This window comes from Homo sapiens, chromosome 17 (genome assembly GCF_000001405.40).
Source record: "Homo sapiens chromosome 17, GRCh38.p14 Primary Assembly".
Classification (NCBI taxonomy): domain Eukaryota; kingdom Metazoa; phylum Chordata; class Mammalia; order Primates; family Hominidae; genus Homo; species Homo sapiens.
This window is the reverse complement of record NC_000017.11, coordinates 49623143-49650304: the sequence shown is the minus strand read 5'-3', so window position 1 is coordinate 49650304 and position 27162 is coordinate 49623143. Positions and strand designations below refer to the sequence as shown.

Below are 27162 nucleotides of genomic sequence, written 5' to 3'. Positions count from 1 at the left end.
CCCAGCCTGTTTTTCTATTTATAAGCCAATTTCTCATCCTGGAAAACAAATCTCATCTCCCCGGTCCCACTATGAGTAGTTGTTGTTTTCTAAATTGATAGAAAGTAAACTATGGGCTGGGTGCGGTAGCTCACACCTGTAATCCAAGCACTTTGGGAGGCCAAGGCGGGCGAATCACCTGAGGTTGGGAGTTCAAGACCAGTCTGACCAAGATGGAGAAACTCTGTCTCTACTAAAAATACAAAATTAGCCGGGCATGGTGGCGCATGCCTGTAATCCCAGCTACTGGGGAGGCTGAGGCAGGAGAATCGCTTGAACCTGGGAGGTGGAGGTTGAGGTGAGCCGAGATCGTGCCATTGTACTCCAGCCTGAGCAACAAGAAGCGAAACTCCGTCTCAATAAATAAATAAATGAAAGTAAACTATGTACTATAAAGTAAGAAACTAGTGGTTTCTTTTTCTTTTTTTCTTTTTTTTGAGATGGAGTCTCTCTCTGTCGCCCAGGCTGGAGTGCAGTGGCTCAATGTCGGCTCACTGCAAGCTCCTCCTCCCGGGTTCACGCTATTCTCCTGCCTCAGCCTCCCGAGCAGCTGGGACTACAGGCGCCTGCCACCATGCCCGGCTAATTTTTTGTATTTTTAGTAGAGACGGGGTTTCACTGTGTGAGTCAGGATGGTCTCGATCTGACCTCTTGATCTGCCCGCCTCGGCCTCCCAAAGTGCTGGGATTACAGGCGTGAGCCACCGCGCCCGGCCTCTTCTTTTTTTCTGAGACCGAGTTCCACTCTTGTTGCCCAGGCTGGAGTGGAATGGCACAATCTTAGCTCACTGCAACCTCCCCCTCCCGGTTTAAGCAATTCTCCTGCCTCAGCCTCCCTAGTAGCTGGGATTACAGGCATGCGCCGCCACGCCCAGCTAATTTTTGTGTTTTTAGTAGAGACGGGGTTTCACCATGGCGGCCAGGCTGGTCTCAAACTCCTGACCTCAGGTGGTCCGCTCTCCTTGGTTCCCAAAGTGCTGGGATTACAGGCGTGAGCCACAGCTCCCGGCCCATAGTTTACTTTCTATCAATTAAAGAGAACAAAAACTAGTCATAATGGGACACCACCGCTTCTGGCTGATTTCTTTAAGGCAAATAAAAAATACAGAATCTAGAGGTGTGATGTAATTTTTAAAAAGAGAGACCTAAACAACATTATAGGAAAATTTTCTAAGATTAAGTATGGCTTTGTTTAAAAATTTTACACCCAGGCTGGGCGCGGTGGCTCACGCCTGTAATCCCAGCACTTTGGGAGGCCAAGGCTGGCGGATCATGGGGTCAGGAGATCAAGACCATCCTGGCTAACATGGTGAAACCCCGTCTCTACTAAAAATACAAAAGATTGGCCGGGCGTGGTGGCGGGCGCCTGTAGTCCCAGCTACTCGGGAGGCTGAGGCAGGAGAATGGCATGAACCCGGGAGGCGGAGCTTGCAGTGAGTCGAGATCCGCCACTGCACTCCAGTCTGGGCAACACAGTGAGACTCCGTCTCAAAAAAGAAAAAAAATTTACATCCAAAGTAAAAAGAGTTTAGTAGGTACTCTGTTGGGCACTGAAAAGAAAAAGACCAGGGAGCTGCTTCTGACGTAGAAATGGGCATTCTTTGAGGAGAGCCCCCATTGTCTAGGTTCTGAGTCTCAGCCCGGCAGGACCACATGTGATTATTCTAAGTGCACCCACAGTGTAGAGGATTAAGTCACATGAAACATTCATAGCAGGTGTAGGAGTAGAGCTACTACTTTTGGCTATGGTCAGAGAAGACCTAAGTAACAAGAAGCAATGTGAATATCTGGAAGAAGCGTCTTCCAGCCTGAGGGAAGAATGCAAAGGCCCTAAGATGGAAACAATCTTGGCTTGTTTGTAGAAAGAAAACCCAGTGTTTTGGAGTAAAGTTAGTGATAAGGGAGAGTGGTAGGTGATGAATTTGGTATAATGGGCCAGCTCTTATAGGACTCTGTAGGTTCAGATAAAGAGCTGGAATTCTAAGTGTGGTTAAGTGAAGGAGCAATATCTGGATTTACATTTTAAAAGCTCACTGTGGCTGCTATGTGAAGAATACATAAATTGGGCTACAGAGGAAGCTGGGAGATCAATTAGAAACCAGTAACTATTCAGGTGAGAAAACTCTGGCTTGGACAAAAATGGATAAATATGGAATACATTGAGAAGCAGGACAGCTGACAGGACTTCCTGATAAAGAGGATAGGAAAAGATAGGGTTTTTAGCTTAAGCAATTGAGTTGAAGAGGTGCCAGTTAGTATGGACACCTGAAATGAATATAATTAAAGAATGGTAAAAATTGTGCTTTTCTGTAAGCTTGTGGCAAAGGAGAGGAAGGTAACTGTGGAGAAAGACACTGGTTTCTTGAAAACTTAGACTAGAAAAATTACTCTGGCAGTTAGAACAATAGATATTTTATTTGAAAAAATTAATGATGATTAGGTGCTAAGGCATGAAAAGTCATTCTAAAATAATTACAACATAGGAGGGCCAGGCGCAGTGGCTCACACCTATAATCCTAGCACTTTGGGAGGCCAAGGTGGGCAAATCACTTGAGGTCAGGAGTTTGAGACCAGCCTGGCCAACACTGTGAAACCCCGTCTCTGCTAAAAATACAGAAATTATCTGGGCATGGTGGCACACCCCTGTAATCCCAGCTACTCGGGAGGCTGAGGCAGGAGAATCGCTTGAACCTGGGAGGTGGAGGTTGCAGTGAGCCGAGATTGCGCTACTGCATTCTAGACTGGGTGACAGAGCAAGACTCTGTCTCCATCTCAAGAAATAAAAAAATTTAAAAAAAATAAAAATAATTACAACATAGGATTCGTTCCCAGGATCCAGTCATGGAAGTAGACACGAACCCATTAATGATTTGCTGAGGTCTCCATTAATAATGGTGCTCCAAATTCATTAGAACAAAAGAACTTTTTTTTTTTTTTTTTTTTTTTTTTTTTTAAGACGGCATCTCACTCACTCTGTAGCCCAAGCTGGAGTGCAGTGGCGTGATCTCGGCTGTCTGCAACCTCTCTGCCTCCTGGGCTGAAGCGATTCTCCAGCCTCAGCCTCCCGCTCAGCCTTCCGATTAGCTGGGACTACAGGCATGCACCACCACACCTGGCTAATTTTTTTTTTGTATTTTTTAATAGAGACAGGGTTCTACCATGTTGGCCAGGATGGTCTGCAACTGCTGAGCTCAGGCGATGTGCCTGCCTTGGCCTCCCAAAGTGCTGGAATTACAGGCATGAGTCACCTTGCCCGGCCAAAAGAACATACTTTCATACTGAGTTGCCACTTGAAAATGAAATTGGAACTGAAAGCTAGAGAATATAAGTATCTTTCTCAGGTATTTTTTCCATTTCTACATGTTGAATAAAAGACCATACCTGATCTAAGAGTCACCCCAAAGGAATTGCAAAGTGTTGGTTTAGGAGTTAAAAGACTTTGTGTTCTAAACTCAAGCCCATTAATAGCCATGTGACCACAGCAAATTGGAACTCTGAGCTTCTGTTCCCTTATTTGTAAAATACTTGCTTGCTCTGTGTGCCTCACAGAGCTGTTGAAAATCCCAAATAAGATCATAAATGTCAGAGTACTTTGAAGACTGTGAAACATTGAATACTGCTTATGAGGGAGTGGTTATATAGCTTAAAGCATTTAACTGGAAAGGACCTTGGAAATCCTTTTAAAGGAGGATGGGGGTGGAAATGCACAGGTTGCTTCTCTCTCTCTCTCTCTTTTTTTTTTTTTTTGAGACGGTCACCCAGGCTGTAGTGCAGTGGCGTGATCTCGGCTCACTGTGGCCTCCACCTCCCAAGTAGCTGGGATTACAGGCTTGCGCCATCATGCAGGGCTAATTTTTGTATTTTTAGTAGAGACGAGGTTTCATCATGTTGGCCAGGCTGGTCTGGAACTCCTGACCTCAAGTGATCTGCCCACCTTGGCCTCCCAAAGTGCTGGGATTAAAGGCATGAGCCACCACGCCTGGCCTAGGTTGTTCCTCTACTGTGAATCTTGAGGTTATGGTTTCCACTAGACTATAGTGCTCAACTATAGTGGCCTATTTTAAGTGGCCTTATAATTCCTAACCAAAGTGACTTGTGAAACAGAGGACCCTGGATAAATTTAAATGTTATAAAGATGATAAAATGTACAGGTAAGTTTGATTTTGCTCTCTTATTTGGCAATTAGAGCTTTATTCCTAGCCATAATACAGAAAGGAAAGGCAGCAAAATATGGTTAGTACTTTTTATGTGTTTTTTCCCCTTTATTTGACCTTTGGGCTGTGGAGTGGGAGCATCTTTTCCTTTAAGAAGTGAAAAATATAAATATGCCAGAGGCTTGCTAGCAGTTGAAAGCAACTGTTGGTCAGTGAGATAATGGAAGGAAAAAAAAACAACAACAGGTTGGAGATGGGAAACGTCAAGGAAGAAGGAGGAAAAACATGTTTGAAAGAAGGGGAAAAAAAGCTTAAGTGAATTCAAGAAGGCAAAAAAGCCTTAAGTGTTCTTTTTATAATCTGTCTTTGAGTTTCAGGTACTAAAATTTGAGATGATTAAAAGAGAGATTGGTTCTTAGAGGAATAAATAAAATTAAGGCAAAGTATAAGGATTTATGGTCTTTATGAAGATATGTCAGATTACTGTGGACATTATTTTTATTTAAGATGTGCTTTCTGGCTGGGCGCGGTGACTCATGCCTGTAATCCCAGCACTTTGGGAGGCCGAGGTGGGCAGATCACAAGGTCAGGAGTTCGAGACCCGCCTCACCAACATGCCCCATCTCTACTAAAAACAAAAAAAAAATTAGTTGGGTGTGGTGGCACGTGCCTGTAATCCCAGCTACTTAGGAGGCTGAGGCAGGAGAATTGCTTGAATCTGGGAGGCAGAGGTTGCAGTGAGCAGAGATCGAATCACTGTACTCCAGCCTGGGTGACAGAAGGAGACCCCGTCTCAAAAAAAAAAAGAAGGAAAGAAAGAAGATGTGCTTTCTTATTGACATTTATGAAGTCAGTCCCTATACTTTCTCTGCTTAAGGAACCCCAGTGCTGTATAATTTCCATCAGCTATAGGAAAAATATTTACCAACACAGGATTTTCCTTAGTGAGATGATCTGGACTGAATTCATAGGCTCTTTTTGGTTTGATTTAGGCTGCATTAGTATCTATTTAAAATATTGCTTTGAGCTATTTAGCTTTTTTTCCTATATCACAAGTCATTAAGCAATCTTTAGCTTTTCTAATTTACCATTTTTCCTGAATTCATCGATTTGAAAAGCTTAAAAAAAGAAAAAGCCAAACAAAAAGAGACTGTGACACTGTCAGCTAAAGTTTTATTTATTTATACTTTCAGTTCTGTTTCCATCCTTCACTACCAGAGACAACCTATTGCCATGAATTTAGTGTGTATCATTCCAGTGCAATATAGATGTGTATGTATGTATGTGTGTATGTATGAAAATGTATTGCTTTACGTGTTTAATTTTTAGACAATAAATTATATACATATGTGTGAGTATATATGTGCATATGTATATATATTTATATGTATATAAGTTCTGCAGCAGTCTTATTTTCATTCTTTTTTTCCAAAATCTGTACATGTTGGTAGATTCAGATCTAGGTCTTCCATTTTAGCTGTTTTGTTTTTATTATACAGTATGAATATTTCACAGTTTTTCCACAATCCCTTTGATGGATATTTAAATTGTTTTCCTTTTTACCCCCCATTACATTACAGACAACTAGTGAACAACCTTGTACATATCTTTTCTGGTCTTTGTCCTCATCATCATCATCTTCTTCTTCCTTCTCCTCTTCTTTTGTTTCAGTGGTTTGATTTTGTCCTAAACTACCTCATTATTTGAGTTCTCCCACTGGGTCCAACACTTTGGTATTTATAGTCATTATTTGAGGGAGGGAGAGGGATGAGGAAAACCTTCTATACTTTGAAATGATACTCTTCTTTTATCAGAGAATGAGAGGCTCTGAAATTTTCTTTCCTTATGGATTCTTTTTGGAATCTGATAAATTTGGCAACTTCGCATTTTATTTTAATTTAGTTAATTTTTTAGAGACAGGGTCTCACTATGTTGCCTAGGCTGGTCTTGAACTCCTGAGCTCATGTGATCCTCCTGCCTTGGCCTCCCAAAGTGTTGGGATTACAGGTGTGAGCCACAGCACCTGGCCAGCTTTGTATTTTAATATTTTGCATTTCTGTTGTCTCATGTTATTAACTGTTTTTTAATAAATTTCAGTTACTGCTCACCTTTTATTCTCCTTGTAAGCTTTCTTTTACTACTTTTTAACTCCTAGAATACTTTCTTTTTTTTTTTTTTTTCCTTGAGACGGGTCTCACTCTGTCGCTCAGGCTGGAGTGCAGTGGCACGATCTCAGCTCACTACAACCTCTGCCTCCTGGGTTCAAGCGATTCTCCTTCCTCAGCCTCCCAAGTAGCTGGGATTACAGGCACCTGCCATTATGCCTGGCTAATTTTTGTGTTTTTGTAGAGATGCGGTTTCACCATATTGGCCAGGCTAGTCTTGAACTCCTGACCCCAAGTGATCCGCCCGCCTGGGCCTCCCAAAGTGCTGGGATTACAGGTGTGAGCCACCACACCTGGCCTTCTTCTAGAATATTTTCTCCCTACTGTGTGGGACTATTTAGTGATCTCCAATCCAGTTCATGTTCTTCTTATATTACTTTATAAGTTCAGTGTGATCCAGACATAGTTGATATTTATAGAAGGGTTTCTTGAAGCATTCTTAGCCAAAGGTAGCATTTAAAAAATATGTCTTCACCTCGATATTTGATTAGAATTATTACATTTAAATTTTGTTCAAGGACCATATGTTTCAATTGCCAGTGGTTTTCATTTATAAATTTTTTCTGGAGTCTTTAATCCACTGTGCCTTATTCATTATTGTGAGGTTGAGTATATTTTTAATTTTTATGCTCCATGTTTTTTCACCCTTTAAACCTGGCTCCTATTCAGAGCTTTGAGCACTTGGAATCCTGAAGTGTTACAAATGAAAACTGTTACTCTTCTCTAATAACACACTCTGCCTGCTGCAAGCGTTTGAGTAGGACTTCCTTTCTTAACAACTAGTTTGGGCAGCCACCTGTCTCATGAATATATCAACTATCTTTAAGAATTTGAGAATTTATGTGCTGAATTTTTTTTAAGACAACCAATAAGACCTTCAAATAGAAATCAGAGTAATAAATAGAACTAGTATATCAGATGCCTGTGTATTTTATCTCAGATCTGTTCTTGTCTTAGGGTTTGGTTCAGGTAATAAGTATTGTGGTTGGAAAGTAACCTTTGGATCTAGGCTTACGCCAACTTTAACATAGATGACGTATTCCATCAAAAGTACAAGCACTATATGTATACTCGGAAGTATCTGTCATGTCACCCAATAGGCAATTTCATTCAGTGAATTATCTTCCCTATGCCATCATAGTCACCAAGTTTGATTGGAATTGTTTACCTGCTCTTTGTCACATCAGTCCCACATTTTATGCTACAGAGAAATGTTCCTATCTTAAATCTTTCTTTAGAAGAAAATGATGCTCTTATATGGAACACTAACACTGTAGGGTTCGTTTTCCCTTCCACTCTGGAAACTGCTATAAAACTTTTTTTAGTTCCTAAGTAAAAAACCATTATTTTTCTAACTGTAGTTACCCTCTTGAGATATTTCATCTGGATATGTAACAGAAGCCTTTATTGCTTTTGTTGGAGTCAAAATACAATATAAAGAACTTTCTCTTTTTTTGAGACAGAGTCTCACTCTGTCACCCAGGCTGGAGTGCAGTGGCATGATCTCGGCTCACTGCAACCTCTGCGCATGCCAGCATGCTCAGCTAATTTTTGTATTTTTTGGTAGAGATGGGTTTTTACCATGTTGGCCAGGCTGGTCTCAAACTCCTGACCTCAAGTGATCTGCCTGCCTTGGCCTCCCAAGGTGCTGAAGAACTTTTTTATTGAAATTATATATTTTTTTGCATGATTCTTTCTTTTAAAAACCTTTTTTTTCTGACTATAAAAGTAAAATGTGCTCACTTTTTACAAACTTAAATAGTATATATAGTAAGTACTCAATCTTTATCCTACATATTGTCAAGTAGTTCCCATAATAGTTATGCTGATTTGCACCGCACCAGCAGTACATGAGAGTTCTTGTCTCTTTGTGCCCTCAATGGCATTGTTATTAAAAACAGGTATTACACTTTTTTTTTTTTGAGGCGGAGTCTCACTCTGTCACCCAGGCTGGAGTGCAGTGGCGTCATCTTGGCTCACTGCAACCTCTGCCTCCCAGGTTCAAGCGATTCTCCTGCCTCAGCTTCTTGACTAGTAGCTGGGAGTACAGGTGCCAACTACCACACCCGGCTAATTTTTGTATTTTTTGGTAGAGACAGGGTTTCACCATTTTGGCCAGGCTGGTCTCAAACTCCTCACCTCAGGTGATCCACCCACCTCGGCCTCCCAAAGCGCTGGGATTTTAGGCGTGAGCCACCGTGCCTGGCCACTATTACACATTTGTTAAGGGAAAATATGTTTGTATCAACTTTTTAGAAGTCTTAACTCTGACTCATTAATATTAATAAGTGCATAAACCTGAAACTTGTTAGTAAAATAAACTTTGTTAATTTGACATACAAGGGGAGAAACATTCTGGGTTTTTTTTTTTTCTTTTTTTTTGTGCTATAGAGTTACTGTCTAATCTTTCAAGCACGGGAATCTAAAAGAAAACATTAATTCAGTCATTTATTAAATAAGTATTTGTAGCCTTCCATGTGCCAGACACTGTCTGGGTGCAGCAGCAAAACAGACAAGAACCTGTCTTGGTAGAGTTTATTTTCCAGTTAGAGAAGACAGATTGTAAAAAGATACAGGATGGTAGATGACTTTATGCGCTATAGAAAAAAAAATGATGAAGCAGGAATAGGATTGTGGTTGTTAACGGAGGGAATTGCTTTTTTTTTTTTTTTTTTTTTTTTTTTGGAGACAGAGTCTTGCTCTGTCATCCAGGCTGGAGTGCAGTAATGCAATCTCTGCTCACTGCAACCTCCACCTCCCAGGTTCAAGCGATTCTCCTGCCTCAGCCTCCTGAGTAGCTGGGACTACAGGTGTGTGCCACCACGCCCAGCTGATTTTTGTGTTTTTAGTAGAGACGGGGTTTCACCATATTGGCCAGGCTGGTCTTGAACTCCTGACCTCAAGTGATCCACCCGCCTCGGCATATCAAAGTGCTGGTATTACAGGCGTGAGCCACCACGCTCAGCCAGGAATTCATTTTTAAGGGTATCAGGGAAGACCTCACAGAGATGGTGACAAGGAAAGTCTTAGCAATGGTGAAGGAGTGTGCCCTGAGAACATCTAGGGGAAGACTTATTCAGACAGAAAATGACACGTACAATGCTCCAAGGCAGGAATGGGCTTATTCTGAGGAATCACAACAAAGAACGGCAGTGTAGCTGGTACATAGTGAGATCAGGAAAACGTAGTTGGAAATGAGGCCAGAGAGGTAATCAAGTCCAGATTGTGCAGGACCCTTTTGGCCATTGTAAGGCTTTCACTCAGAGGGAGTTGGGATTTTACTGGAGGTTCCATCAGAGGCCATGATTAAACTAGTAAAACCAAAAAATACTTGTGTCTTGGCTTTGCTTTTTCAGAAGATTTTGTCTCAAAATAATTTGGGGATTAACTCATGGTTCCTGGTGGTAGTCATATGTAGATTTAAACCTTTATATTAGTACAGAAAATTTCCCTGAAATATAGATCTTAGGTATGGCATTTAAATTCAAAGAACGTAATAGAAAATCCTGCCTATAGGTATTTATTCCTGGGTGGCCCTGCTTTATTACTGACTTCTCATCCTAAATTGTCTTTTTTTTTAAAAAAACTGTATTATTTGCAAGATGTACTCACACTTATATATTATTGGAGGCTAGATAGACATCTACTCTATTAGGTTATTTTAATAATGTATGCTTTGAACTTTTTTTTTTTTTGAGACGGGGTCTCACTCTGTCATCCAGGCTGGAGTGCAATGGCACCATCTTGGCTCACTGCAACCTCTGCCTCCTGGGTTCAAGTGATCCTCCCACCTCAGCCTTCCAAGTAGCTGGGATTACAGGTGTGCGCCACCACATCTGGCTAATTTTTTTTGTATTTTTAGTAGAGATGGTGTTTCACCATGTTGGCCAGGCTGGTCTTGAACTCCTGATCTCAAGTGATCCTCCCTCCTCAGCCTCCCAAAGTGTTCGAATTACAGGCGTGAGCCACCATGCCTGGCTTGAACATTTTTATTATGAAATATAACAGAAAAATACACAAAGCATGACTGTATAATGTAAGGATTAATTACAGAAGGCAAATACCTAGGTAACCACCAGTTAGACCTAGAAATATATCATTGCCAGCACCTGGAAGAAGCCTGCTGCGTCTCCCTTCTAGATCATAACGTATACCATTGCTCAGAATAACCACTCTTCTGACATGTGTGATAATCATATCCTTATTTTTCTTTATGATTTTACCACCTAGGATTCATTCTAAACCAATATAATTTAGTTTTGTCTGTTTTTAAACTTTGTATAAATTGGAATAATACATTATGTGATTTTTACATTTTTATGTCTTCTTTCAGGAAGAACCTAACAATATATATGTTCATAACTTTCATCCATGTTACTATATAGAACTGTAGTTTGATTTCATTGCCATATAGCATTCTGTTATATGAATATACCACAATTTATGTATTCATTCTGTTGATGAACACTTTGATTGTTTCTAGTTTTTGGCTGTTAATGAACAATGCTGCTGTGAACATGTACAGAAGTTTCTCTAGGCCATATACTTGGAGTGGAATTGCAGAATCTTTAGTCTTATTAGATAATAATAAACTATTTTCCAAACTGGTGGTACCAGTTTGTTCTCCTACCAACAGTATGATAGTCTCCCTGTTCAGCCCTTACCAGTTTTGTCAGATGCTTTAAATTTTGAGAAACCCAAACCTTAAGCTTAAAAAAAAAAGTGGAGAGTAAGGGACTAAAGGTATTGGTTTCTGCTTTAAGAATCACAGCTATTTATTTTCATTTGTTAGAGTTGGTTGATATCTTCTGCCTTAAAGGCATTCTATCTTTCTATCCTCAGAGGGTTGGGAACCTTGTCTGTCTCTTTTACCACTGTGTCTCAAAGAATGCCCTGCAGTTGGTACTCAGTAAATATTTGTTGCATGAATTCAGCCTGACTCCTGCTATTATTAACTGAACTACGTGGGATTGTTGGCTCAGTCTCTGCTCACTACAACTGCCACCTCCCAGGTTCAAGCGATTCTCCAGTCTCAGCCTCCCAAGTAGCTGGGATTATAAACGCCCGTCACCACGCCTGGCTAACTTTTGTTATTTTTAGTAGAGACAGGGTTTTACCACATTGGCCAGGCTAGTCTCGAACTCCTGACCTCAGGTGAATTTATTTTATGGTATCTGATTAAGACTGCCCTGTTTTAGCATCAGTCATTTAGCACAGTTTTTGGTGATGGCTCATTTGATCACTGATAGTAACTGGACTTGGTTTACCAAAACCTATTATAGTCTAAGAGAAGCTTATTTGTACCATGTACTAGTTAAAGTTGGTGCTTACATTTTCAGGAAGAGATTCTATTTTTTTTTTTTTGAGACAGAGTCTCACTCTGTCACCAGGTTGGAGTGCAGTGGTGCGATCTCTGTTCACGGCAACCACTGTGGGGTTCAAGTGATTTTCCTGCCTCAGCCTCCCCAGTAGCTGGGACTACAGGCGTGCACCACCATGCCCAGTTAATTTTTGTATTTTTAGTAGAGACGGGGTTTCACCATGTTGGTCAGGCTGGTCTCAATCTCCTGACCTCGTGATCCGCCTGCCTCGGCCTCCCACAAGTGCTGGGATTACAGGTGTGAGCCACTGTGCCCAGCCGAGATTCTATTTTTAAGGAATCATTTACCCATGATTTATGCAATACTTTATTTTCTCACAAAAGGGAATATAGCAGTGGAATTTTCTGCCTATGTTAGACTCCTAGAAGCATTGCTACTTCTCTTATCCCAGTTTCTGTTTTGAGCTACTTTGTAGGATATGGTAGATTATCAGAGGTTGGTGTTGCTTGGCTATCTCTCCAGTCTTCAACAGGAACCTCTTTCTCTCCCTTGTATAATCACTATTAATCCAGTCCATTCTGCATCTCATTGTCACAGTTATTTATTAAAACCATAGGGCCAGGCATGGTGGCGTGTGCCTGCATAGTGCCAGCTACTCAGGAGGCTGAGATAGTGCACTATGATCAGTCCTGTGAGTAGCCACTGTACTCCAGCTGGGGCAGCATAGTGAGACCCTGTCTCTAAACAGAAAACCATAGGATACATGGCTTTGTTTAAATGCATCTTGCTTTGGTGTAATTTACCCATAGAGCACTTTTTTAAAAGGTGTTTTACATAAAAACTTATAATAATTCTTTAAGCATTTTGTGAAAGAGCTGGCAACAGTGATCTCTCTTTTCTTGTAAATATTGACACAGGACAAGTCACCTCATTTTTGCTGCACTCATAGGTCAGTTTATTAGAAGAACTAGCTTGGGGCTGGGCGCAGTGGCTCACGCCTATAATCCCAGCACTTTGGGAGGTCGAGGTGGGCAGATCACTTGAGGTCAGGAGTTTGAGACCAGTCTGGCCAACATGACAAAATCCCGTCTCTATTAAAAATACAAAAATTAGCCAGGCGTGGTGGCAGGCACCTGTAATCCCACCTACTTGGGAGGCTGAGGCAGGAGAATTGCTTGAACGTGGGAGGTGGAGGTTGCAGTGGGCTGAGATCGCTCCACTGCACTCCAGCCTGGCTAACAGAGCTGAGATTTCATCTCAAAAAAAAGGAGAACCAGCTTGGATTTTTCTGACTTCCATTTCTAAGTATAATATTTTTTTGAGAGATGACTAAGAAATAGAGCATTCAGAGCTAGTGAGATAAAGGAATGGTAATTTTTTTGTTTGTTTTTTTTGAGAGAGTATCACTCTGTCACCCAGACTGGAGTGCGGTGGCATGATTTTGAGGTCACCGGAATCTCTGCCCTGCCCTGCGTGTCCCTCCTCCACCGGGTTCAAGCAATTCTTGTGCCTCAGCCTCCTAAGTAACTGGGACTACAGTCGTGCACCACCATGCCTGGCTAATTTTTTGTATTTTTGGTTGAGGCAGGATTTCACCATGATGCCAGGCTGGTCTTGAACTTCTGGCCTCAAGTGATCCACCCACCTTGGCCTAAGAATGGTAATTTTGACTAGTAAATTTTTACTAGTCATTTCTTCTTTCATATATCACCTGCTTTTGTGAGATTTTTCCTTTTTAGGAATAGACAAAGTAAGTAAAGACTTGTATGAGATTCAGAATCTAGTTAAGTCTGATTCATATTCTCTATTTCCAACAGAGATTTCCTGTTAGACAAGACAAATTAGAGTTTTCCTACTGACTTAACTTGGTGAGTTTTTACATAGTTTTATTTTAAATATAGTTTAATCATGAGGGAAAAAGCAGAATGAAATGCATAAAAACATTTACCATGACTTTTAAAAATACACCTCTTGAGTACAATCTACTGTTTCATTTTAGTGCAAATGATAGGTAAAGTTAAAAAGTTAAAGTCATATAAGGTAAGCGTGTAAGATTTTCTTTTAAAATAAGAATTATTACAGTGTTAAATAAACATTTTCTATAAGTGTCTTCAAAAAAAGTTTTATTCTAAATATTCTTACCTGGAGTAAGCCAGAACTATTTATTCTGATCTTCTCTGGTGATTTCTAGATATAGGATAAGACTTTACAGTAATGGTGGAGGGGAGAAATGATATTTGAATTTAAATTTTTAATCAATGGTTGATAATATATGATACGGAAACCTTAGAGTCAGATTATTTTTCTTCCTAGAAAAGTTCTTCAGGAAGGTCGGGCATGGTGACTCATGCCTGTAATCCCAGCACTTTGGGAGGCTGAGGCAGGAAGATTGCTTGAGCTCAGGAGTTCGAGACCATCCTGGTCAACATGGTAAAAACCCATCTCTATAAAAAATACAAAAATTAGACAGGTGTGGTGGCACATGCCTGCAGTTCCAACTACTCAAGAGACTGAGGTGGCGGATAATTTGAGCTCAGGAGGTCTAGGCTGCAGTGAGCCATAATTGTGCCACTGCATTCCAGCCTGGGTGACAGAGCAAGACCTTGTCTAAAACAAAAACAAAAACAAACAGAAAAAACATAAAAGACCTTCAGGGAAATTAGAATTACAGTTTATGAAAAAGAGATACTTGGGACCAGGTGCGGTGGCTCACACCTATAATCCCAGCACTTTGAGAGGCCGAGGCAGGTGGATCACTTGAGGCCAGGAGTTTGAGACCAGCCTGGCCAACATGGAGAAACCCCATCTCTACTAAAAATACAAAAATTAGCCAGGCATGGTGGCACGTGCCTGAATCCCAGCTACTCGGGAGGCTGAGGTGGGAGAATTGCTTGAACCCAGGAGGCAGAAGTTGCAGTGAGCTGAAATCGCACCACTGTACTCCAGCCTGGGCAACAGAACAAGACTCCGTCTCAAAAAAAAAAAAAAAAAAAAGAGAGATACCTTAAAGAAATTTGTAGGCTTCATTTTACTTTATAAAAGGAGTTTGATTTTGAACAAATTGCCTTTGTGTATTTTACCTTGGAGCTCATATCTCTCTGGGTAACTTACAGAAAAAAAACTCTCCACCATTTTGTGTAACATCTGAAAACTTGTTACTTTGTAGTATGAAATTTTTAGCTTCCAAAGCTTGTGTATGTTTTGTCAGAGTCATGTTGGGTTAAATAGGTGTTATTGCATTTTAATCTTTTAAATTCTGACACAAATCATCAGGAGCCAGGAAATTCTGTTAAGACAGACATTCTGTCTAACCTTCCCTATTTTGTCTGCCTGTGTGGTTTTACTTTTTCCTTGAGTCATGAATTTTGGAATGAACATTTAAAACTGAGAAATTCCTGCCCATCCTTTGTTCCATTTCGTTTACTTAGAACTGTAACATTAACATAGAATTTTGCTTATTTTTAATAATGTTAGAAGAGGGAATTTATTTTCTGCAGATTGTTTCTAGGTAAGGCACGTGGTCCATGTAAATAGTAGTTAGGCTTTTTTAGTTAAGACTGTAAAGGAGAAGATTAAAAACATACATATACCTCCCTTCTCTTTTAAAGTTGGAAGGAGGTCTAGGTGCCTTTCAGGAAGAAAAGTATCTCATGGGAATACTGAATTCTTTACTGCTGGATAGTAATAGTTAATGCTGAACATAATCAGTTGCCCTTGTAGGAGACCAAATCCCCTGGAGCAGGTGGGCCTTTTCAGTTTCCAAGTTAATGAACTTATTTCAAATTGTATGCCCTAAGACTAATTAGACTTTCTCCTTTGAAATTCATTCCTTGGGTCCCTTCCATAGCCGAATCATGTTAGCAAGAAATATTTTTAAATGGCTTGGCTGAAGTATAGATGGCCAAAGAGAACTGCCTGTTGAATTTGGCTTCTATAAAAGCCAGGGGACTCTGTGGGGTTATATAAGCTCTATTTGTTTCATGAAATGACTCTTCTGTTTTTGAATTCCTTGCAGATTGGACATGCTTAAATAGTATTAGGGCCAGCCTTTTCATCTGTTTACTGTTTAGATTTTATAAGGTTCTTCATAGTCATCATTGAGGGGAGTGGGTCAAAGACCATAACCTCTCAAATTGGAAAACAGCTGTGAGAATATTAACTTATGTAATAAATGGAATCTTCTTACCATAGGGCTTTTCCCTGCTTCCTCCTTTTCTGATCCTTTTTCAGCTCTTCTTTAGAATAAGTAAATTTTCTCAGCCTAGAGGAGGCATCTTTTATAACATGTGGGACGTGTTAAAATCTTCATCTTTCCCAAGTTCACTCTTTGTGGCCCTAGAGATTTGTGCCCAAGCCATTTAGTGGAATCAACACATGATTCTAATTTGTGAGAATGGAGAAGTTGTTGATTGCTTGCGTTTGCCTTTCTGACTTCATTTCTAAAGATGTTCTCTTTTGGAACTGAGACCCACTCTGAAGTGAAATAGCCCCTTTGTAATCAGGTTTGTTTCCTGATTCGGATTCCTGTCCTTCCATTTCAGGTATTTCCCAGTGTGGAAAAGTCTAATCTGAGGAACTCTATTTTCTCTTTTTCTGTTTTTTTTTTTTTTAAGCAGCTGGAGGAGTTTTTCTTCCTAGCAGGGGTTCTGTAATTAACAACAGCAGCATGTCACCTGATGGTATTAACCCAGATCTTGTGAAACCTGTGCTTGTTGCGGCCATTATTCTGCTGGATCCTCCATCCAAATGGAGACAGAGGAATTTTTTCCTCTGATGTTGTTATGTGGATGTGTTTAGCTCAGTAATCCTTTGTGCCTAAATTAAAAGTAAAACAAAAATTCAAGAAGTCTTTTTAAGGTCCAGGGAGTTGCAGTCCTACAAGGTGTTTGAGTGGCATCTGCCCCTTTCTAGGACAAACTTCGGCATTTGGAGCAGAGATACATTGCATTCTTCCTGGACATATTTTTGGGGTAAATAATTTTGCTAACATGTTTATATCAATAACTGTTACATAGTGGATAGTTTCTAGGGCAAGGGAATGATCCCCCTGCCCTAACTTAACTTGGCATTACATTTTCTGCTTTTTTGATTTTTTTTGCTGACTGGAAAAGTTGCATCCAAAGTGAGAATTATTCCATATTTTAACCTTTGAGCTGGCTGCTAAGGTCTCCTTGGGGACAAGGACAGTTTGTAGTTATTTATAGCCTGAAAGAAGAGCAGTAAGCCTGTAAACTGCCAGCACACACCGAGGCTTGATAGTCGGAGCATTCTGTTGTTATCCTATTGGGTTTAGTGACTTGAGAGTCATGTACCTTCTTGTTCATCTTCAGCTTGCCTTGATCTATCTAGATGAGCCTTACTAGCTAGGCATTTCTATAAAATTATAACACAGATTGAGGAGAGGAAGGAGAAATAGGCTTTTTATGTACAAGTGCATATCTAATCCTCACAATCATTTTAGAATCTATACTTACCTAAGAAATACCTGTAAACTGGGAAAATCTTAAAAGTACTGACTTGAACACATAATACTATGCTTGTTTCTAGGTTTTCCTTATATACAACAGTTACAAAGTAGTTCAGCTCTTAATTAGAGAAATATTTGGCTATGCCAGAAATGTGTTCTACATCTTAGCCTGGTATAGAAAAAATTTAGTTATATGCCTAGTCATGTTTTTACATATGTACATATTTACACTGGTCTGTATTTAATAAATGTTAGTTATCTTTTCTCCATACATCCAGAATCCAACCCAGTGTCAGATACAAAAACAATAGATCAAATATAAGTAGATGCTAAGGATTTCCCTCACTTAATATATTGGAATTTTATTATAATATATAGTATTTAACTTGAGGCAAGGCGTAGTGGCTCACGCCTGTAATTTGGGAGGCCAAGGTGGGTGAGGAGTTCGAGACCAGCCTGACCAACACAGTGAAACCCCGTCTCTACTAAAAATACAAAAATTACCTGGGCATGTTGGTGGGCGCCTGTAATCCCAGCTACTTGGGAGGCTAAGGCGGGAGAATTGCTTGAACCCGGGAGGTGGAGGTTGCAGTGAGCCGAGACCATGCCATTGCACTCCAGCCTGGGCAACAAGAATGAAACTCTGTCTGGAAAAAAAAAAAAAGAAGAATTTAACTTGAAATAACTTAAGAGTTTAGCTTGGGTTCCTGACAGCTGCTGTAATGGTACTTCTATAACCAGGATTGACTTATTCTGGGAAATGTACTTTTCTCACTATTGTCTTGTGGATTCAGGAACTCCCCCCATAGCTCTGTACGTTTCCCTTTTCTTCCGTTTTCTTGGATTTGAAAAGATTTTTAATCAGGGAAGGGTATAAATAGTTTTGTAATGTACTCAATAAATTCTTAAAGTTGGAGTGACTTGATAGTTTTCTTTTTAAAATGTTTTATTGTTTTAAAAGTATGCCTGGATTCCTATAGCTACATTCATTCAACAACTCCTAAACTTTAATTTATTAACTAGAACTCATTAGGGAAAAATGATCCCAAAAGAGAAGGAGTCTAATTGCTCAACCAAAATTTCATTGAACAAATATTTACTGAGTGCCTGTTATGCCATTCTAGGCACAGGGGGATACTATTCTCGTTGAGCTTAACTTCTAGTAGGGAACACAATAGACAAGTGAAAAAATAAAAACAAGATAATTTCAGGTAGTGGTAATAAAGAAGAAAATAAAATAGGGTAATGTGATGAGAGGAATAGGCTAGAAGTGGAAGTGGCTTCAGATTGGGTGGTCAGGGAAGACTCCTCTGAAGATAACTTCATTTGCTAGGAGACCTAAATGACAAGAAGGACCCACCTATAAAAAGACCTGAGGGAAGAAAGAGCTTTCTAGGCTGAGGAAAGAGCCCAATGTGTTTGTGGATTAGAGTTAAAGCCCTGAGTGACTAAAACATCAGGATTGAGAAGATTGTTAGAGAAGGTCAGGGAGGTATGCTGAGGCCATGGTGGTCATGATGAAAAGGTTGATTTTACTCAGATAGCAATGGAGGCCACTGAAGAATTCCTTTCTTGTCTCTCATGTGGGTCTCGATGTATAAGCCTCTTCACAACTTGGAAAAATTAATTGTAAAGGCTGCTAATTCCTTTTTAAATTTTTTAATTTACTATTTGAATAGGTAATATATTTACATGGTTCAAAATTCAGAAAGTATTAAGAGGAATACAGTGGGACTTCTTCCCACTCAGGTGTACCCAGTTTCCTCCCATGGGAGTAACCAGCATCCCTAGAGCCTTGTGTCTTTTGGGAGATATTCTATATGTTAAAACAAATGTATATTTTCTATTAAAAAATGGAGCTTCCTTATTTTTTAAGAGATGCATATTATTACATTATCTGTATCATAGTTTATTTAATCCACTGTTGATGAACTTTTAGGTTATTTCCATTTTCACGTGTTTTATAAATAGTCCCCACAGTGAAAAACCTTTTATATTTGTCCTTTAAAACATATCAGTAGGGATACATTTCTAGAAGTGAAATTGCTGGATTAAAGGGGATGCACATTTTTTACTTTGATAGACATTGCCCTTCACAGAGATTGTAACAATTTATACACCAACCAGAAATGTTTTCTTTACCCTGGGTAAGTGTTATCAAACATTTTGATCTTTGCCAATTCAGTGGGTGAATCAATGTGTGATTTAATTTGCATTTTTATCTTGAATGAGAGTTGAACATCTTTTCATATATTTAAGAACCATTGGGTATTTCCATTTCTGTACACCGTTGGTTGTTCTTTGCCCATTTTTCTGTAAGGCTGTGGACTTTTTTCTTGATCTCTAGATTCACTTGGTATCGGTAATCCCCCTATAGGTGCAGTGTAAGAATTTAAAAAATGAAAACAGGCTGGGCACAGTGGTTCATGCCTATATTCCCAGTGCTTTGAGAAGCCAAGGCAGGAGGATTGCCTGGGGCCAAGAGCTTGAGACCAGCCTAGGCAACATAGCAAGACTCTGTCTATACAAATTTTTTTTAAAAAAAATTTAAAGAAAACAAAAAAACAGGCATCTTTAATTTGTAAAGTTTTACAAAGCATGAACCCGATAAAAGACATAAGAGAACCTCAGTCTTTCCTTTGCTGATTGAGGTCTGTCTGAAGCCCTGAGTTTCATTTTAAGCAGTGTCTCTAAAAATTTTTTAAGTATATTTAGTATTTTGTTGGACTAGATTGAACTGCAGAAAGTTTACTCATAACAAATATTCAAAAGTCATTTAAACCTTGCAACAGTAGAAGTCAGTATGACCTGTAATAACTACCCTTGGGGTAATGAGAAAGAAAAGATTACCTCCTGGGCTGTGTATGATTGAGCACACTGTAACAGAAAAAACAAAAGGCTCCTTTTGGTCACATTAGTTTCTCAAAAATTAGTATACAAAAGTCTTACAGTTTTTTTGTTTGTTTGTTTTTGCAATTGTCGTCAATCTTTTTGGCATCTTCTGTTTTGGAAAACGCAAACATCTCGGGTTGAAAATAGTTATGACACTGGGGCTTTTCTTTACTTGGAAACTGTACAAAGCTTTAAACCAGAAGAAAGCAGAGAGAGAGGCTTTTAAAAAGTCCCTAACAGACCATTCTCTGGTCTGTTCCCAGCCATCTAGCTTGTACATGCTGTGTATTATGTTGAACCACATGAAATTGCTGATATTCAACTATTTTTGTCATATAAAACAACAGTTTCATGATTCAATCTAATATCTTCACAATCTTGTTCCTGTCATCTTAAAACTGATGGATATAAGTAAGGCTAATTCATAGATATCATGTATGAGATTCATGCCTCTCTCTCTGTTAACTGGTTGATTTAATTCTCTGGATAAGTAGATTAGACTGATGATGGAGAAATGCTCATGGGAAATAAGTGAAAGATTTAAAAAGTGACTGCACAAGCTGTCTGTGTAACACTTTTCAGAGGGTGTTCTAGCCTAGTTCTGTAAATACTGCAAAATAAACTATTGGGACATTTTCCTTTATTGTACAGGGAATTTGTCTTCTATCTTGAAAGAATTCTGATTATGCAAGAGTTTAGTTCAGATAAGTTACTGATTTTTGTTTTCAAAATGAAATTATAACAAGGCTTTCTCCTCTTGTAGAATAAATATATACTTGATACTGGATGAAAAACTCAGTTTTACCAGGACTGGGATTAGAGGTACCGGGCTGGGAGTTTTGGGCTTTGTAATATAATTTATCTGAAATAACAAATTAATTATTCTCATTACATTGCAAATCTGATATACTCAGCATTGTTCAAAGGGCTGTTTTAGAGATATGTGAAAAAAAACCAGAAAACTTAATGAACTTGAATGCAACTGGATGAGTGTTTCAGTCATCAGAGTATTTTTTATTTTTTTTTTTGAGATAGAGTCTTGCTGTGTTGCAGGCTGGAGTGCAGTGGCACCAACTCGGCTCTCTGCAACCTCTGCCTCCCAGGTTCAAGCGATTCTCCTGCCTCAGCCTCTTGAGTAGCTGGGATTATAGGCACGTGCCACCACGCACGGCTAATTTTTGTGTTTTTAGTAGAGACGGGGTTTCGCTATGTTGGTCAGGCTGGTCTTGAATTCCTGACCTCATGATCCGCCCACCTCGGGCTCCCAAAGTACTGGGATTACAGGTGTGAGCCACCACGCCTGGCCTTCATCAGAGTATTTGTACTGAATTCCTTGAGTTCCAGGCAGGCTGTGCTAGGTGATAAGGGATATATAGAATAGTTGCAGGTTCTGTTTAAGGAGCTTGAAGTCTACAGGAGTCAGCAGAAGTGTTCATAAGTATAAAAGAAGGCAGGAAAGAAGTGCACCGTAGGTTCAGTTGAAAGCATTATCTGTGCATCACGACAGCATTACAGGTTGAATATCCACTTATCGGAAATGCTTGGGACCAGAGTGTTTTGGATTTCAGATTTTTCCAGATTTTTTGGAATAGTTTTGTTACGTACTTACTGTTTCAACATTCCTAATCTGAAATCCAAAGTGTTCCAACGAGCATGTCATGTCAGTGCTCAAAAACTTTTGGATTTTGGAACTTTTCAGAGCAGGGATACTCAACCTGTAATTCATTTTTTTTTTTTGTCCTTCTGTCTGTCCTCCAAAGTTTAATATTCTAGTTAGAAATTATATTGTTGGCTTGAATCACATCAAAACTGGTTAATGACTTCATGGTCTTATAATACCCACTAGGAAGCATTCCATTAGAGATTTTTATTAGTTGCTAGCTGATACTACCTTCGTTGGAAATTAAGCAGTATTACAGTTGACAGAGATATTTTAAAGTGCATTTTTTTATGTAACTCGAAGAGGTCTGTTCTCACAGGTCAGAATTTAATAGAGTAAGCAGGAAAATAAATGGTGGTATATGTTCAGCCTCAGAGTTTGAGCGTACTAGAAAGTTTGGTAAGCTTTGGAAAATAAATTTCTCAATAGAGAATGCAGACAGACTGTCTTAACTTGTTTGAAGGCAAGAGCAATATATTTTGGCTTTAGCTGTCTGCTGCAGAGGTTCTCGAACTCTAACCCTCAGGTAGGTCTCCTCTTTTCTAAAATTTTTTTCTGCTGGTCATCTGCAGCAGTTGGCATGAAGTGCTAGAGAGTTCATGTAGCACTAGGCTACTTTGCTGATGAACACTTTGCCCATGGTTCCTGCTATGAGTGAAATTAATTAGACTTGTGCTGTCCTAGTCAATTTCCTTTCCAGCAGGTTGTTTGGTTAAGAGCTCCTCAGAGTCTGAGACAGATTCTCCAGTTCTGCTGGCTGTGAGGTTAGAGATTTTTAAAAATTAGAAGAAGGGAAAAGATGTAGCTACAAAATAAGTCAGAAGCAAAAAAAGGTGGGAAAAAATGGTCAAGATCAAAGTAGTAGTTTCTTTTTTCTGGTTATAATAATGAACCAAGGATGAGTAACAACAATTAAGGCATTAAAATAAACCAGTTATTAAAATTTGGCCTTTTCCTGGGCTTAGATAATTCATAAATTGTTCATTGTTAGATCAGTTTGAAGTTTTTTTAACCTCAAAATAAGTTCAAATTGGTATTTTAGGATTACTCAGTGTAGAGCTGTGCCTATAATCCACCTCTCCAGAGCCAAATTTTTTGTTCTTAACTAATGCATAAAATCAAACCTTCATTGCCACCCTGTCCCAAAGTAGGAATTTTGAAATTTCATTCTGGCCATTAATGATAATTGGGATTTGTAAAACTAGCTCATTTATACTTACTTGTTAATGGAAAAATAAAACAGTTCTTTAAGAATGTGTTTTCCATCAAATGCAAGCCTATCTTGGAGGTGACCACAGTAGCATTTGGCTTCTTTTCTTCATGTTATCATGGAATCATGAATTGCACAAGCCAGGGAGGCCCAAATGCCACTGCAGTGCTTAGGTTGCTAGCTTAAGTGAGACAGCACACCATGTTAGCTTCATTTGTGATTTCACAGATTCTTTAATTGTAAATTCCTGGCCGGGCGTGGTGGCTCATGCCTGTAATCCCAGCACTTTGGGAGGCCAAGGTGGGCAAATCACGAGGTCAGGAGATCGAGACCATCCTGGCTAACATGGTGAAACCCTGTCTCTACTAAAAACACAAAAAATTAGCTGGGCATGGTGGCGGGTGCCTGTAGTCCCAGCAACTCAGGAGGCTGAGGCAGGAGAATGGCATGAACCCGGGAGGCGGAGCTTGCAGTGAGCCAAGATCGCCACTGCACTCCAGCCTGGGCGACAGAGAAAGATTCCGTCTCAAAAAAAAGGAAATTCCTGTAAGATAGTGTTTATGACCATGGGAATAACATCTCATTTCATTTATGAGTATTACTCTGTGAAAGTGCAACTGTAGTTTATTAATCTCCGTGTTTATTATTTAAGTAGTCAGTGAATATTTGTGAGTTGAGTTATTGTGTGATTTGTTGTTACTTTTTTTTTTTCCTCTGTCTCCCAGGCTAGAGTGCAATGGCGACATCTTGGCTCACTGCAACCTCCACCTCCACCTCCTGGGTTCAAGCTACTCTCTGTCTCAACCTCCCAAGTAGCTGGGATTACAGGCACGCATTATCACACCCGGCTAATTTTTGTATTTTTAGTAGAGATGGGGTTTCGCCATGTTGGCCAGGCTGATCTCGAACTCCTGACCTCAGGTGACCCGCCTGCCTTGGCTTCCCAAAGTGCTGGGATTACAGGCATAAGCCACCATGCCCAGCCTGTTGTTACTTGTTATACCTCTTTCTGCAGAGGATTTGAGGCAGATTCCAAAAATACTTAACATATAAAAGATTAAAAGTTGAGAGAATTATAGCAAAGGGAATAATTAAGAAAATAAAACTATTATAGAATGAACTATAATAAAACTATTATAGAATGATCCTGTATAAAATATAGCATCTAAAGCAGGCATATGGGCTTATAGTTTTAAAAGATGAGTCACAAACTTGTCTCAGGATTTCTTAGTAGCCAAGCAAGGAGGGCAACATGATCAGTTATAAGATTCATATTGTTTGGCCTTTGAAAACAAACTAGGTGTTCAGGAAATTTCTCCCTTGTATATTATAAACCAGAGATGTGTGATATAATGGAATATATCCTTACACAATTGCTCCAATATCAAAACGATAAAAATAAAGCAGAACACTACAAAAAGTAGTTTATACCCAAGTACCTGTCATCCCTAATTAACAGATATTTGTATTATCATATTTTCTTTGTATCCTTATTTTAAAAGAATCACAAGAGATAAACTTGAAGCATCTTACATTATTTTCCCAGTCTCCTTCTCCTTCCTTCCCTCTCCCAGTATGAAACTGATATATAGGCTGTCAAGGCTGTTTTTTGTTGTTGTTGTTGTTTTTTACTTTTACTGTATCGTATATCTGTAAATAATATATAAACCTTAAATTTGCATAAATAATGTACTGTACATGTCATTCCTAAACTTGCTTTTTTTTATTAGCTCTGTGTTTGATGTCCATGGTGCTGTAGATCTAGTTCTTTTATTTTATTTTATTTTTTGAGATGGAGCTTCGCTCTTGTTGCCCAGGCTGGAGTGCAATGGTGCGATCTCGGCTCACCACAACCTCCGCCTCCCAGGTTCAAGCGATTCTCCTGCCTCAGCCTCCGGAGTAGCTGGGATGACAGGTGCATGCCACCACAGCCAGCTAATTTTGTGTTTTTAGTAGGGACAGGGTTTCTCCATGTTGGTCAGGCTGGTCTCGAACTCCCAACCCCAGGTAATCCTCCCACCTCAGCCTCCCAAAGTGCTGGGATTACAGGCGTGAGCCACCGTGTCCAGCCTAGTTCATTAATTTTAAATTCTGAAGTATAGTTTTCTATTACATGGAAATAATACAAATTAGTTATCTATTCCCCTACTAAAGATTTTCAGTGTGTTTCTAGTTTTCACTGTTATTAATGGTGCCGCATTGAAAACCCTTGTCTGTATCTTGTGCCCACGTTTAGCGTTTCTCTAGGACAGCAGTTCTCAAAGGATCATCTGGGAACTTGTTAGAAATGCAAACTTGGGCCCATCCCAAATCTCTGAATCAGAAACTCTGGGGGTGGGGCCAGCAATCTGTTTAAAAGGAGATTGTGGTGCACTCTACACTTCAGAATCACAGCTCTAGCACATGTATTGTTAAAAGTGGAGTTACTAAGTTTTAGGGTACATGTATTTTCCACTGTACTAGATAACACCCAATTGATTTCACAGAAATAATTTATATATCAATTTTTTATTAAGTCCCTTTGTCATGTGTTACAAGCTTTTTTTTTTTTTTTTAGTTTGTCTTTTGGCTTTGTTTATGGTGCTTAAAAATTGTAACCAAATTCACCAATTAAAAAAAATTGTGGCCAGGCATGGTGGCTCATCCCTGTAATCCTAGCACTTTGGGAGGCCAAGGTGGGCATACTGCTTGAGTCCAGGAGTTCAAGACCAGCCTGGGCAACATGGCAAAACCCTGTCTCCACAAAAAAATACAAAAAATTAGCAAGGTGGTATGGTGGTGCACGCCTGTAGTCCTAGCTACTCAGGAGGCTGAGGTAGGAGGATTGCTTGAGCCTGGGAGGCAGAGGTTGTAGTGAGCCAAGATTGCGCCACTGTGCTGCAGCCTGGGTTACAAAGTGAGACCCTGTCTCAAAAAAAATAGTAAAAATTGTATATATTTGAGGTATGCAGCATAATGTTTTGATTTGCATATGCATAGTGAAATGATTACTATAATCAAACCAATTAACATATCCATTATCTGACAGTTACCGTGTGTGTGTGTGTGTGTGTGTGTGTGTGTGTGCGCGCGCGCGCGTGTGTGTGTGTTCCCGCGTAGGTGGTAAAAGCACCTAAAATCTCTTCTGGCAAACTTCCATTATACAATACGATATTATTAAGTATAGCCCTCATGTTGTACAGTAGATCTCTAGATGAATTCATCCTACCCATCTGCAACTTTGTACCCCTTGACCTACATCTCCCCAGTCCCACTCCCTCATCCCCAAGTTCACCAGTTTTTTTAATGGCTTTGGTATTTAGAAAGGCTGTTGGAGGGAAGAATTTTGAGTTGGATTTGATTTGCTACTGAGACACCCCATTGAGATATATAACAGTTATTGGAGAATGGTCTGAGGCTTATGAGAGAGGTGAGAGTTGTAGAGATTTGGAAAACTTGTATAAAGGTAGAAATTTGACATTGTTGGGATGGATGAAATTGCCATAAAGATATGTCTGACTGGTGAAAAAACAAAAAATTGACACAGAGAATGTAGATTGAGAAAATGATTGAGGATTAAATGATGGGGAGCAACAGTGGACGAAGATAATCTAGTAAAGGAGACTGAGGAATGATCACAAAACAGAGCAAGGAGAAGAATCTGAAATATCGAGTGATGACAGGAATGTAAGCAGGGAGAGATCACGAATGCTGCAGAGAAAGGAATACATCTAAGAAAGGTGTAAAAATATTCCCCTTCAAGAGAGCAGCCAGCAATGGGTTGAGGAATAGAAGATTCCTTAAGTTTGCAGTGAAGCATAGGAGAAGATGAAGCAAACTTAGAGAGGGTAACAAGGTCATTTTGCTTTAGGAGTAGAGTATTTTTACCCCAAAGGAAGGAGCCCATGGCAAGTTATGTCTGATGTTAATGATGCTGTCTCCTCTTCAGGCAGCCTTTTCATAGATATACTTTAAATACCCTTTGAATAAATTCATTCAGCAATAGAGTTATTGAGTATTGTGCAGAGGTATAGGGTGATATAATTGTGACTAGGTGACTACTTTACATTAGATAGTCTTCTCTGATGTTAACATTTAAATTTAGGACCTCGGCTGGGTGCGGTGGCTCACGCCTGTAATCTCAGCACTTTGGGAGGCCGAGGAGGGTGGATCACCTGAGGTCGAGAGTTCAAGACCAGCCTGACTAACATGGAGAAACCCCGTCTCTGCTAAAAATACACAATTAGTCAGGTGTGGTGGGGCATGCCTGTAATCC

The 27162-nt window shown here is 39.7% G+C and overlaps 1 protein-coding gene across 10 annotated transcripts in view, besides 1 other annotated feature; it reads left to right on the top strand.

The window, feature by feature from the left end:
* Positions 1–27162, top strand: part of SPOP (speckle type BTB/POZ protein) — a 79280-nt gene that overhangs the window by 27859 nt on the left and 24259 nt on the right. For 2 of the 10 annotated variants that reach the window (NM_001007229.1, NM_001007230.1), the window contains one exon: positions 13496–13546. The exons of 4 other annotated variants lie outside the window; for them this stretch is intronic. The gene's annotated coding sequence lies outside the window, so the exon portion shown is untranslated. Of the gene's footprint in view, positions 1–3786; positions 4190–10157; positions 10178–13495; positions 13547–20805; positions 20860–27162 lie in introns of those variants that run through there. 4 more of the 10 variants (NM_001370730.1, NM_001370731.1, NM_001370732.1 and 1 more) reach the window with 4 other exon arrangements.
* Positions 3859–3948: an enhancer, noted in NCBI's record as "active region_12366". NCBI's record gives its function as "activates an Ori minimal core promoter by ATAC-STARR-seq in GM12878 lymphoblastoid cells {active_cell/tissue: GM12878}" and the evidence as "EXISTENCE:reporter gene assay evidence [ECO:0000049][PMID:35858748]".